The following is a 12,783-nucleotide window of genomic DNA, read 5'->3' as shown; positions in this document are numbered from 1 at the left end:
AAAATTTGTTTGAATCTGTAAGGGTCTTCTTTTGTAAAGAAGTAAAAAGAGTTTGAGGAAAGTATTTCTTATTCCACGATGATGCTATTAAAATATTAATATTATAAATATTAATATTATAAAATAATATAAATTATTTTGATATTACCAATTATAAGTTAATTGGTAATTTTCCTGAGTGCTGAATCTGTATGTCAGATTTTTTTCTGGGGCTATGTGTGTCTATCATGTAATATTAGGTTGGTGAAAAAGTAATTGCCACTCAGTGGCAAAACCGCAATTATTTTTGCACCGACCTAATATTTCATGCTCAGAACAGTCTTGAGACAGGTATCTTCATTCTTCTTGTTTTACAAGTCAGAGAACTGAGACTAATAAAAAGCTTGTTTTTGTCGCTTACTTGGGGCAAAGGAAGAAAGGTTAGAATAGATGAATGCTCCTTCTGGTTTCATTTTAAAGTTAAATTTACTCTATTTTAATCTCATCTCACTTCCTCTAGGAGAAGGTTGGCTCGCCCTGGTTTCGGGTGCCTCCCAGTCTGCTCAAAAAGAAAGCCCAGGCCTCCTTTATACCAGCTTCTAGGACTTTCATATGCAAACGCATCTGCTGGGAATCTTGCTAAGAGGCAAGTTCTGATTCATTTCCTCTGCAGAGGAGCCTGAGATTCTGAATTTCTAAGAAGCTCATGGGTGTTGCTGGTGCTGCTGGTCTGTAGACCACACTAGGAGCAGCGAGTATATTTCTGTATTTCACTCCTTCCCAAAGCCATACCTAGTCCTCTTCAAGGTACTGCTACATTTCTCTCTTATCCTTTAATACTAGTCAGCTTGGAAGAACAATCTGCTGCAGCTTTCTTTTCTTTCCTTACTATCTGTGCTATAGTTTATCTTCTTCCCCCAGCTCTCCATGAAGCTCTTCTGTCAGAGGATTTGTAGGGCCTTTCTGCCATCACATCCAACACATACTGTCAGTTCTCACCTTTCCCTCTGTTCTCTGGGGCATCGAACTAACCACCCCCCTCCATTGGAAAATGATCCTCTGACCTCACCACTCTGGTGCATACACTGGGTAATCTCATGACTTTGGCAACTCCCAAATCACCCATGCGTCTGCTCCAGAACCCTGATCTGGGACATCTCTGCTCAAATGTCAATATACCTCAAACCTAAGGTATATGAATCCAAACTCTTGCACTTTCTCTTTCTCCTTCTCCTCCTCTTTGCCTTTCCAGTCTTTCTTAACATAGGACACCTTAGAGATGCTTTAGACTCTGCTTCTCACACACCCGCTGTCAATTCCTTCCAGTTCTAACTTTAAATTATTTCTCATATCATCCCCTCCTTATCCACCCCAGGCCCCCGCATCATGTTTGCCAGGATTGTTATACCTCCTTCCATAGATTCTACGTCCCTCCACTTTTTTCTTCCTTCCTGCAGTCCTTTCTTTTATAATACGTTCAAGCATTAAAATTTTTCTAAAACCTTGATTTGATATATATTTTCCTAATGGGTAAAGTTCTGACGGCTTCCCAGTAAAGAATATGGTTCTAGTCACTTTGCCTGGCCTCCAAGGCCCTTCACAGCCTTTTTCACACACACCACTTCCCACTGTAGCCGGCTCTGCCCAACCCAAACGTCAGCCAGACTGCCTCCCAAATACATCTGGGAATGTTCTGCTGCCACGCCTTTGCATTCACTGTCTCCTCCTTCTGGGCTACCCTTCCTGGTATGGTCAATTAAACCCACCTCACCTGTTCACTGATTGGGTTGTAGTTGTCATTTCTAGATTTCATATTATCTACCTCACTTTGTAGCATATGCAATTAATTTATGTCACTTCCATATATGCCACTTAAAAAATAAGTATATATTTGCTTAACTATGTGGCAGCCACTTTCCCCAGAAAAGAGAGAATGGCAGGAAACCTGAAAGAGCATCATGATAGCATCTGGAAAATGCAAAAATACATTTCTTCTTTTCTGTAAACACTTCAGCATTTGTGAACCCAGGGCACATTTCCTCCCTGGGACAGCCAACAGCACTGTGAAGATATGGTTGACAAGAGTATCCAGCTTACATTAAAAATGCATCTAACTAAAAGGGTTTAAGTCAACTGCTCTTTCTTGCATCTTCATTATGTTGACTTTACAAATGGGGAAAAAGCAAGTTCAAGAAGGAACGTCTCTGTGGCTTCCTATAAATTGCTTCAAAATGAAGCCTCTTCCCTTCATCCTTGTAGATTTTTCTTGGTGACATTCTCCTTTCTGAGTGCTTTGAGCAGCCACTCAGATGCCTGGTATCTCTGTGACAATCACAGTAATCTTTTCTTTGTTAATTGACCTCCTCTGAAGTACGGAGAAAGTTTTATCTTCTACCCTGGATTATAAAGCAAAGGCAAGGCATGCGTGTTTGTTCTCTTCTGTTCTCTAAGGCACTAGAGTTTAATTTACGGTAAAATAAGTACCATCAAAAGCAATTTCCTAAGCCCCTTGGTGTCCAAGGAAAAATCTGCATATGTAATGATGAAAGCTAGAGAGCAGTGCCTTCTTTGGATTGACCCAAAGCAAGTAGCATAGCTTCTGAATCTGCACTGAATAAACAACAGGTTGTGGCCTGTCCTCAGAAACAGTGTAAGTTAAAGATCCCATAAATTCTGTGTCACTATGTAATGGTGTCTTATAGCAACCTGGGGTCCTTTACTTTTGTTGCTGGGGGGCTGTCCAGACCAGCCCTGAGGATATCCAAGGGCACTACCCAACTCCTTAAAGTGTGTTTAGGTATTTAATTGAGCTTGCCTAGGGGATTTCTGAGACAGAGGAGAATTGCCACCTTTGGGGTACATGATGTTTTAAAAAATGGAGTTGAAGACTGTCAGAGATTTAAAAACAAATACAATAATAACAACAAAAGCCTCAGATGAGCCAGGTAGTAAATGTGTGATTTGGCCATTCTGAGACGCCTAGATGAATGACAGTCACTATAAACGCGTAGGAGAGGTTGTGTCTATCTAAAGTTGTCCACTATTTTTTTTAGAAGAGAATGAAGAGTTGAGACTCTCCAGTGGATTTATCTCCTTTTCTTTGTGGCTTTGCTTTAAGGATGGGCCCAGGGTTTATATCATAATGTGTTTTCTCTTAGAAACAGGGAAACAATCTAATGAACTAAACCTGTGGTGGTATGCATATAATTGTTCTTGAAATGAATTATAAATACAGTACAATTAAATAGACACAGTTCTGTGAAAAACAAACTTGATAAGGGAGCAGCTAGCTCTTCCCTGCTTCTATCTCATACCTGCGTCAGACATAACTAATCATCACATTCTTATCCTCAGAGTCCACCCATGGCTCCAGAGTGCTCTCAGTGTTATCACTCCAGGCAGCCACTGTCAATCTATCAAAGATGCTCTTAATGTTGAAAACCATTTGTTTGCCATTTTCGCATAATGGAAAGAATGCTAGGCTGTGATTTAGGACATCTGTGTTTAGTCCTTAATGCTACCACTAGCTAGCTTTGTGTGGGGGTGCGAAGGGATGGTTTCTGTTTTTTGGAAGGGAAGGAGGAATTCTTTTTTTGTCTTTTTCTCTCTTCTGGACTGTTCTTTTCTATAAAATGATTGAATAATCGTTGAGGTCCATTATACTTTTAAAATTACACTCTTTAAGTTTTATGAACAACCTATTTATAAATTTGAACATTTCCATTTTTAAGGGCAAGAAATAAGAGTAAGAGGTTTGCTGCTCATGAACTCAATGGGTATCTCTGTGTCCAGCTTTCAGTCTTATAGGAGATAGAATCCTGCCCTCAGGCCAGGTGTGGTGGCTTACGCCTGTAATCCCAGCACTTTGGGAGGCTGAGGTGGGCAGATCACCTGAGGTCGGGAGTTCGAGACCAGCCTGACCAACATGGAGAAACCCCATCTCTACTAAAAATACAAAATTAGCCAGCCATGAAGGCGCATGCCTGTAATCCCAACTACTTGGGAGGCTGAGGCAGAAGAATCCCTTGAACCTTGCGGTGAGCCGAGATCACACCATTGCACTCCAGCCTGGGCAACAAGAGTGAAACTCCATCTCAAAAAGAAAAAAAGAATCCTGCCCTCACACATTTTATTAATTTTAATAAATTGTATTCTCTTCATTCTTGGTTATTTCTAAGTCAAGGGAAAAGTTTAGTCTCTGAAGTGATAAACTCCTGGCTGAGCACTGTGACCCATTTACCCTCTGCTGTGCCTAATGACCGCACATAGTCTTTGTGTCAGAGGGCTCAGAGCCATGTAGGAATCATTAGAGAGCAAGAAGTCTGTATGCATAGAGGTGAGAGCACGGGTATCTGCATCAGTACAGGCTGGGGCCACATTGCAACTCTGCCATTTACTAAACATGACTGTGGGCAATCACTTACTCAAGCCCTAATTCCCTAGCTGTAAATGAAGAATAATATGAGTATGTAATTCTTAGGATGATTGGCATTAAATGGAATAGTATATATAAACAAGCCATCAGTGACCAGAAAAAATTATAGAAACAGCTTGTGCTCTTATTTTGTTGGGAGAGAAAATGTTATGGAACATGTTAAGAAAGTAATATGAATGCAAGGGTCTTTGGCCAAAGTATGCGTACTAGGTTGGGAGCAGGGCTTGGGGAAGGACACTGTTTCTTTAGACAGATATATCATCTGGTGATGCTGTTGTACCGGATGCCAGAGATACAGAATCAATTAAAGACAAGACTTGACTTTTAAGGAACACACAGTATGGTGGGGAAAGAAGTGGAAATATCAACCCTGCTTCTCCATGTGCTTTTACAGAGGCAAGCGTGCACTCTGGGTGATGGGGTAGGCAGGAGGGCCAGGGGAGAACTTTCTATGTCAGGCTTGAAAAGCTGGCTAGAGAGTATGTCCAGGAAAGAACAGGGTGGAGTATGCAGTCAGCATGATTGAGAAGAGAGCCAGACAAAGAAGTTAGACTAAAATTTGGAAGCCTTCCCAAGCCGAGAGACTTATGTGTGCAGAAAACCAAAGGTCTGAGACTTCTTGCCTGGATCTTGAACAAGAGCCAAGGAATTCTGCTTGAATTTCAACAGAGGCTTCAGAATATGGAGGGTCAAGGGAGGTGTTAAAACCAGATCACAAAGGGCCCGCCCCAGGTGCTAACCTCTGAGAGGTTTGAATTCTTTCAGTCATTATAGCCTGTTGGCCACTGTTTTGACAACAGTGGCTTCAGCCAGGCTGGCCTTCATGCCCCAGTGGTTTTAGAATCAGGGCATTCTCTGACAGGTAGTCACAATGGCCAAGGGCAAACTGCTATGTCTAGTGATGGGGGAGTATTAGTAGAGTTATTAATAGTTAGACCCTGGCCTCAGGTCCTACCCCAAGGATGGTGGCTTGAACTTCTTCATAATTGGATTGCCCCCAGTAAAATCACATTACAAACAAAAGAGTTTATTGGAACACCTGGTGCCTGTATCTGTATTGGAAATTGTATTCCAATGTACTACCCTGTCCCTTGCAGCTAATCTAATTTCCTTTCCTTCCCCTCATCATCTACCCCCGCCCCCCGCAACTCATACATGTTTAGTTTTACAAAATAATACCACCTATAGCCATGTATGAATCATATTTTTCTTTTATAGTGAACGTGAGTCCCCACCACATTTGTGAAAGGGGAGTTGAGTTCACACAAGGCATTGGGAGCACAGGCCTGGGCTGGGGTCAGGCAGGGGAGATGGGATTTTTGGGGGTTGCTCCATCCATCTGGTTATGTTATTTGAGGAGGCTGAGACCAAGGGAAAAGGGAAAGGCTTGGGCCTGTTCAGCAAACTCTTATTACAAAGACCATTTTGAAGCACTCTGCTGTGCCAGCACAAATCGTGATTGGCTTCTCAGGCTGAGCCATGCACCGATGAAGGGTTTGAACAATTCCGACAGGTGCCTGGCCTGAGCTACAGCGGGCTGGTGGATGACTCCCCTCGGTATTCCTGGAGAGTTATTGAATGTGGCCAAGCAATGAAATAACAGTGAAAAGGGAAGTCACTTTTTTTTTTTTTACTTTGAGAAGGTGTATGCTGGCAAAAAGGAGCCTGTCCATGCCAGAGAGACCCTTGTGGTCATATTCTGCTAATTGGTCTCTTTACAACTTGAAAACATTGATAAACAGAAGGAATTTAACTTTTCTTCCTTGGGGGCTGAAAGAGCATGGATGCTCAGAGTGGCAGTTTTATTTGAAGTTGCTGGGTTATTCTGATATACAATGACAGTATCCTAAAGAAATGAGATCTTTAAAAGCCAGGACCTTTTTCAAGCAGTCTAAGCTCAAAGGAGCAGAGAATTATTGAAGGTAGAACAGGATTCAGGCCACATTTCTTTTAAATGCTCATGGAAGTCAGTCTTGATAGTGAACAGATGTTCATTCAGTGCTGAATTATTAGGTTGGTGCAAAAGTAATTGCGACTTTTGCCATTACACATAGAACCTAAGTTTCTGCTCTGAGAATAAAGGCTAAATGCTGATTAATCCATTCTGTAAGACTTGGCCAAAATGTGTTTTTAACCATTATTAGCATGTAGTTTCTTTTAGCCCCATTTTAATCTCTTGTGGGTTATAACCCCACTTGGGATGCAGTGAAGAAAAAAGCAACATGGTTCAGAGAACTGGACCTTTCTTTTGACAGTTTAAAATTCTACAACTATTACTGACCTTTTACAACTATTACAACTACCTTTTCAGTCAGTGGTCCCCAACCTTCTTGGCACCAGGGACTAGTTTCATGGAAGACAGTTTTTCCACGGACTGGGCGGGGCAGAAGTTGATGGTTTTGGAATGATTCAAGCCTCTTACATTTATTGTAATGCTATTATTACTACATTATTATTATTATTACATTATTATTATATTATTATTACATTGTAATATATAATGAAATAATTATACAATTCACCATAATCTAGAATCAGTGGGAGCCTTGCAACTGGATGGTCTCATCTGGGGGTGATGGGAGACAGTGACAGATCATCAGGCATTAGATTTCTATAAGGAGTGCACAACCTAGATCCCTCTTAAGCAGAGTTTGCAGTAGAGTCCATGCTCCTATGAAAATCTAATGTCGCTGCTGATCTGACAGGAGACAGAGCTTAGGTGGTGATGCAAGTGATGGGGAGCAGCTGTAAATATAGATGAAGCTTCACTCACTCACCCACCTCTCCCTTCCTGCTGTGAGGCCCAGTTACTAACAGGCCACAGACTGGTACCAGTCCTGGGGTTGGAAACCCCAAGTTTTAGATCACAGTTCTATACAGATTCAGGATTTGGCCAAAGTAATGCAAATTCACCCTTCTTTGCTTTGATTTCATCTCAAAGTGATGTCATTTGGCTGTGTCCCCACCCAAATCTCATCTTGAATTGTAATTCCCATAATTCCCGTGTTTCTTGGGAGGGACCCAGTGGGAGGTAATTGAATCATGGGGGCAGGTTTTCCCCATGTTGTTGTCATGATAATGAATAAGTCTCACAAGATCTGATGGTTTTATACAGGACAGTTCCCCTGCACACGTCCCTTGCCTGCCACCATGTAAGACATGCCTTTGCTCTTTATTCACTTTCCGCCATGATCGTGAGGCTTCCCCAGCCATGTGGAACTGTGAGCCCATTAAACCTCCTTTCCTTTATAAATTACCCAGTCTTGGGTATTTCTTAGAGCAGTGTGAGAATGGACTGATACACAAAGATAGTGATGATTTAGGGATTCATGGCAGCATCTAGCCAGTTCCATACCCTAAATGTCATTGACATTCAATAAATCCTTAAATAGGAATTTAAAAATCTTGATTTATGGGTGATTTTTTGCTCATGAGCGTTTGTTTTCATTATTTTTGAATGTTGGAGAACATTTTTGCACATTAGGGAATACTGTTGGCTCAGCAGCCCTCACCAAGCAGACTTTAATTTTAATAATCCAAGACTATGGTTAATCCAAGACTGTGGACAATCCAGGAATTATCTGTCTCACTTTTAGCATGCATTTCTGTTTGTTCATTGGAGACTGCTTTGTCAGAGATGACATTCTGAGTTAAGAAGATGGATCTTGGAACCAGAGAGACCCGGAATTTATATTTTTTGCTTCCTAGTTATGTGTCCTGGAGCAAGATACTTCCTCTTGCTGAGCCTTGGTTTTCTCCTCTGCCTAATGGGTATAATAATAGTCTTTATAGCTAACATTTAATTAGTGCCTACTGTGTGCCAGGCACTGTTCTAAATGCTTTGTCATTTAATCTATAATACAACCCCATGAGGTGTATCAAGGTATAATAATGATGGTGCCTGCATAATAGAATATGATCCATTATTAAGCAAGATAGTTCATGAAAAACATTTCACATGCTGTCTGATACATTATAAGAACTCAATAAATATATGGTATCAATGGTAGTTACTGTAGTTATCTATTGCGTGTAACAGATTGGCCTAATATTTAGTGCTTAAAAAAAACCGATTGTCTCACACAATTTCTGAGGGTCATAAACCTGGAAGACACTTAGCTGGGTAGTCCCATGAGGTTGCAGTCAAGCTGTCTACTGGTACTGCAGTCATCTGAAGGCTCAGCTGAGGGTCGGCTTCCATGACGGCTCACTCACAGGGCTGTTTGCCAAGGCCTCAGGTCTTCACTGGCTATTGGTAAGAGGCCTCAGTTTCTCTCAACATAGGTCTTTCCAAAAGGGATCCTTGTGATACGTCAACTGGCTTCCCCCAGAGCAAATGATCAAAGAGAGGGTACGTGTGTACAAGAACAAGCAAAAAATGGAAGATGCGGTGTCTTTTATAACCTAACCATGAAAGTAGCAGCCATCAGTCCTGCCATCTTCTGTTGGTCACACACAACAACCTTGGGACAGTGTGGGAACATACTACCTGATATGGTTTGGCTCTGTGTCCCCACCCAAATCTCATGTTGAATTGTAAACCCCAATGTTGAAGGGGGGTCCAGGTGGGAGATGATTGGATCATGGGGGTGGTTTCTCATGGTTTAGCACCATCCTCCTAGTGCTGTCTAGTGATAGAATTCTCACAAGATCTGGTTGTTGGAAAGTGTGTAGCACTTTTCCCTTCACTGTCTATCTCTCTTCCCTGCTCTGGCCAGGTGAAGATGTGCCAGCTTCCCCTTCACCTTCTGCCATGATTGTAAGTTTCCTGAGGCCTCCCCAGCCATGCTCCTGTATAGCCTGTGGAACTGTGGGCCAATTAAACCTCTTTTCTTTATAAATTATCTGGTCTCAGGTAGTTCCTTATAGCAATGCAAGAACGAACTAAGATATTATCCAAGGGCCTGTGTACCAGGAGGCAGGGATCATTAAGGCCATGTTGGAGGCTGACTGCCACAGTGGTCTGTGTTTCTAAGAATGTTAAATCACATTCCAAAACCATGAAGGTGGGAAGCTGAGCTTAGGAAAACTTGCCTGAAATTAAGGATTTGCCACCAAAAGCCTATCAGCCTAAGCAATCAGTCTGTGGTACATTTTGCGGGTAGGTGCAACCACCATGCATGTTTGAAGGGTGTTTCCTGTGGCTTCTAATTTGCATATCCTGAGATGGTATCAAACGCTTGCATTTGCTCCTTTGCCATTTCTTCACTCCAGCTTTTACTTTAATATTCTGGTACATATTTTTTGATCATCCAGTACTGTGGGCATGGCTCATCTTACAGTCAGTTCTAAAAGTATATAGCAACCCCTAGGTAAAAGTTCATTTCATTACCAACTGGCTGAAGGCAGTGAATTTATATTCAATCACCCATCTGAGTGTTTTCCCCCGATTTTCTGGGGATGGATTCACTGCAGTATTCCCTTAAATGGATTTTTTGGCCTTTCTCTCAGGCCTGCATTTGACATTTTCTCAAGAATGTTTATTTTTTAATTTACAACTTTGAGAGGTTTATTTTATGAGATGGGTTTTATGCAACAAAACATAATGGGTTCAGAGTTGGGGGGGGAACCCTGTGAATTTGAAATTGACTGCCATGAGGAGGAATTATTCATTTCATTTGTGGGAGAAAAATGACAGCTAACAGGAAAGTAGAAAGGTTTCAGGTCTCAATTCACAGATGAACAAATCGCCTTTCATAAGTCAGCACGCTTGGTGTTTTGTATTTGCCGTAAATATCTGTGAGGCTTTTGGAAGGATGTGATTAGGGTATGATCTCTCAGTGGAGGGTTTTTGCAGGGTCTTCTTGGTTAAAGGGGCCTTTTGAATTAAAACGGAAGAAAATGAAGGCCCTTGCCTCATGAACATCAGAGCTTGGAGCCAGACTGGCCTGTCTTTATTCCCTTTCTTCTGTGTAGAGCTGGTGGTCCCTTCTGTTTTTCAAAAAGAAGATGCTTGGATACTCAATGCCTGGACTTGCTCATTCTAATAATATAATGGTGAAATATTAACTTATCTAAGTACTGGAAGCTTCAATAACCATTCTGCCTGACTCTTTGAGCAGAAAAGACTGTGGAAAAACCACTGTGCTCTCATTTTCACCCTCACACCCCACAACCCTCCATTAATTTCCAGGCATCACCCTTCATTAGCCACCCCAGGGCTGAAGGACTGTGTTATGAGGCTGCAGGGTCATGAACCTCACCATCCACCCCTTGGTTCATTTCACAGCTTGCTCCTTTCTTAATACCTTATGGCCCATTTTCCCCCCTTCACTTCGCAAGGGGAACCTTTCCCAGGGCCTGAAATGGATGGGGCTCCTGCTGCTCCTCTTTTGTTCAGTGCCTCCCTATTCTGTGATCTTAAAAGTGTACACCCTTGCCACAACCATAGCATTTGCTCAGTACTCTCAACATAAACCAAGCTTAGATCGCAATGAAACTGCGGACCTGCAGGCTGCCTTGCTTCACTGAGTCAATTTTTAAATGAAGATGGAACACAAGAGGATGATCTTATTGTTCAGTAAATTTACTCTAATACATAAACCCCATGGTGGAAGATGGTATTTGGTGAGTTTAATCTGCTCCACCTTTTTTAATGAATAAGATAATTATAAGATGTGATTGTATTTGCTCATTATACACCACCGATAGCAGTTTGCTTTAGAAATACTGCATAGGTAAAGTAAACTTCCTAAGCTGATCAAAGCAAGGAGAAGGGCGCACCTGCCAAGCACTGGGAATTTTCCCATCTGTCTGTACCATGAACCATGTTACCTTTGATCTTTTTCTTTGGTGATTGACAGGCTGGTGAAAACCATAGCAACTTCTGAAAGTGCCTATCAACGTGGCAGTGGGAGCAAAATTAATGTGTGTTTTCCCCCAAAGAAGATACTAGGTGTGTAAAGGAATGGTTTAGAAGCATCAGGGAGACAGGGTAGCACTGTGGTTAAGAACATGGACCCTAGAGCCAGATAAGCTTAGGTTTGAGTCCAGGCTCTACCGCTTAGTAGATGTGTGACAAGTATATTAGTTATCTGTTACTGTGTAATAAATTACTCCAACACCTAGTGACTTAAACAGCAACCATTTATTATGTCACACAGTTGCTGAATGTCAGACACCCAGGAGTGGCTCACCCGAGTGGTTCTGTTTCAGGGTCTCTCACAAAGCTGTGTTAGGATGTTGACTGGGGCAGCAGTCATCTGAGGCTTGACTGGGGCCAGAGGATCCACCTCGAGGTTCACTCCCATGGCTCTTGGCAAGAGGCCTCAGTTCCTCACCACGTGGGTCTGCTCCTGGCATTTTACTCAGAGTGAGTGCCTAACTTCTCTGAGCCTCTGTTTCTTCATATATCATATAAGGAAAAGAGTAGTACTTCAAAGGATTATAGTGAAGATTGAATTTCAATGAAAGTGCTTAGCATGTCATCTGATTCATGATTAAATTCTCCCTTACTCTTCTTACCATTTTTATCATCATTGTGATCGTCACCTACCCCATAATTCCTATAATGTTTAAATGGGCCTATGTATCTCCAATTTCTGTTTTTTTTTTTCCTCTTTGCCACCAACAATCTTCCCATTCCTCTGAATTTCAAATTCTTTCTTGACTGCCTACAATTAGAACCCATCAAAATGTCAATACCCAAAGACAGATGGAGCCCTCCTGGGGTCTCAGTTGGCTGCCAGGACATGGAAGGATGTGGCTAATGGTAGAATTTGCAGAGAACTTGCACCAAATATTGGCCCTGTCATTAAAACAAAGAGAAAAAAAAATATTTCTGCGAAAGAGTTTTTGGTCAGAGAACTATAACTACAGTTTGAGATGAAACACAGGAAAAAAGACATAGTGGAAGGTTGTAGAATATATACACAGAGTTCACTTAATAAGAGATATTAAGTAGAGAGCATCTCTATCTGTTACACTCCTTTTAGGGGCTCTTAGGATCTTTGGACTGTCTTCAGTGATAAGGCTCAGGTGTACACATCCAAGTTTGCCTAGAATTTTGAGAGGTCCCCAGATATCGTCCATTCACTGCACGTTAATTAAATCTATATAAACAGACAAAGAATGCAGTAAAGACCAACATGGTATATCTTGAATGCATATTTGTATTGGAAAGTGAATAGTAATTTGATATTCCTTTGTACATGTCAAACAGTCATTTATACAAGCACACATATTAAACTTTTGGTGTTTTTGACAATTTACTTGCTAATCCAGCTTTCTGAACGATACCAGCTACCCATAATTTGTTTTTCTCAGCCATGATGTAATCATTAAGTTGCCATAATGAAGATTGAAGGTTTAATAATGGAAAGTGTTACAAATTTCAATTTAATCATTCCTAAATTGATTAGCAACTTTCC

The 12,783-nt window shown here is 41.5% G+C and overlaps 1 protein-coding gene across 5 annotated transcripts in view, besides 3 other annotated features; it reads left to right on the top strand.

Annotated features, from left to right (window-relative positions):
• Nucleotides 1-12,783, top strand: part of PDZRN3 (PDZ domain containing ring finger 3) — a 242,511-nt gene that overhangs the window by 139,506 nt on the left and 90,222 nt on the right. The window contains exon 1 of one of the 5 annotated variants that reach the window (NM_001303141.2): nt 10,804-10,981. The exons of the other annotated variants lie outside the window; for them this stretch is intronic. Coding sequence (NP_001290070.1) covers nt 10,898-10,981 — 84 coding nt within the window. The 5' untranslated portion in view covers nt 10,804-10,897. Of the gene's footprint in view, nt 1-10,803; nt 10,982-12,783 lie in introns of those variants that run through there. 5 annotated transcript variants of the gene reach the window in all.
• Nucleotides 332-865: an enhancer, noted in NCBI's record as "OCT4-NANOG hESC enhancer chr3:73533722-73534255 (GRCh37/hg19 assembly coordinates)". NCBI's record gives its function as "activates a minimal SCP1, AML or CMV promoter by ChIP-STARR-seq in primed H9 embryonic stem cells {active_cell/tissue: H9 hESC(primed)}" and the evidence as "EXISTENCE:reporter gene assay evidence [ECO:0000049][PMID:30033119]".
• Nucleotides 332-896: a biological region, named in NCBI's record as "OCT4-NANOG hESC enhancer GRCh37_chr3:73533722-73534255".
• Nucleotides 657-896: an enhancer, noted in NCBI's record as "active region_20100". NCBI's record gives its function as "activates an Ori minimal core promoter by ATAC-STARR-seq in GM12878 lymphoblastoid cells {active_cell/tissue: GM12878}" and the evidence as "EXISTENCE:reporter gene assay evidence [ECO:0000049][PMID:35858748]".

Source organism: Homo sapiens, chromosome 3 (assembly GCF_000001405.40).
Source record: "Homo sapiens chromosome 3, GRCh38.p14 Primary Assembly".
NCBI classification, from domain to species: Eukaryota; Metazoa; Chordata; class Mammalia; order Primates; family Hominidae; genus Homo; species Homo sapiens.
This window is presented reverse-complemented; position numbering and strand designations above follow the sequence as displayed.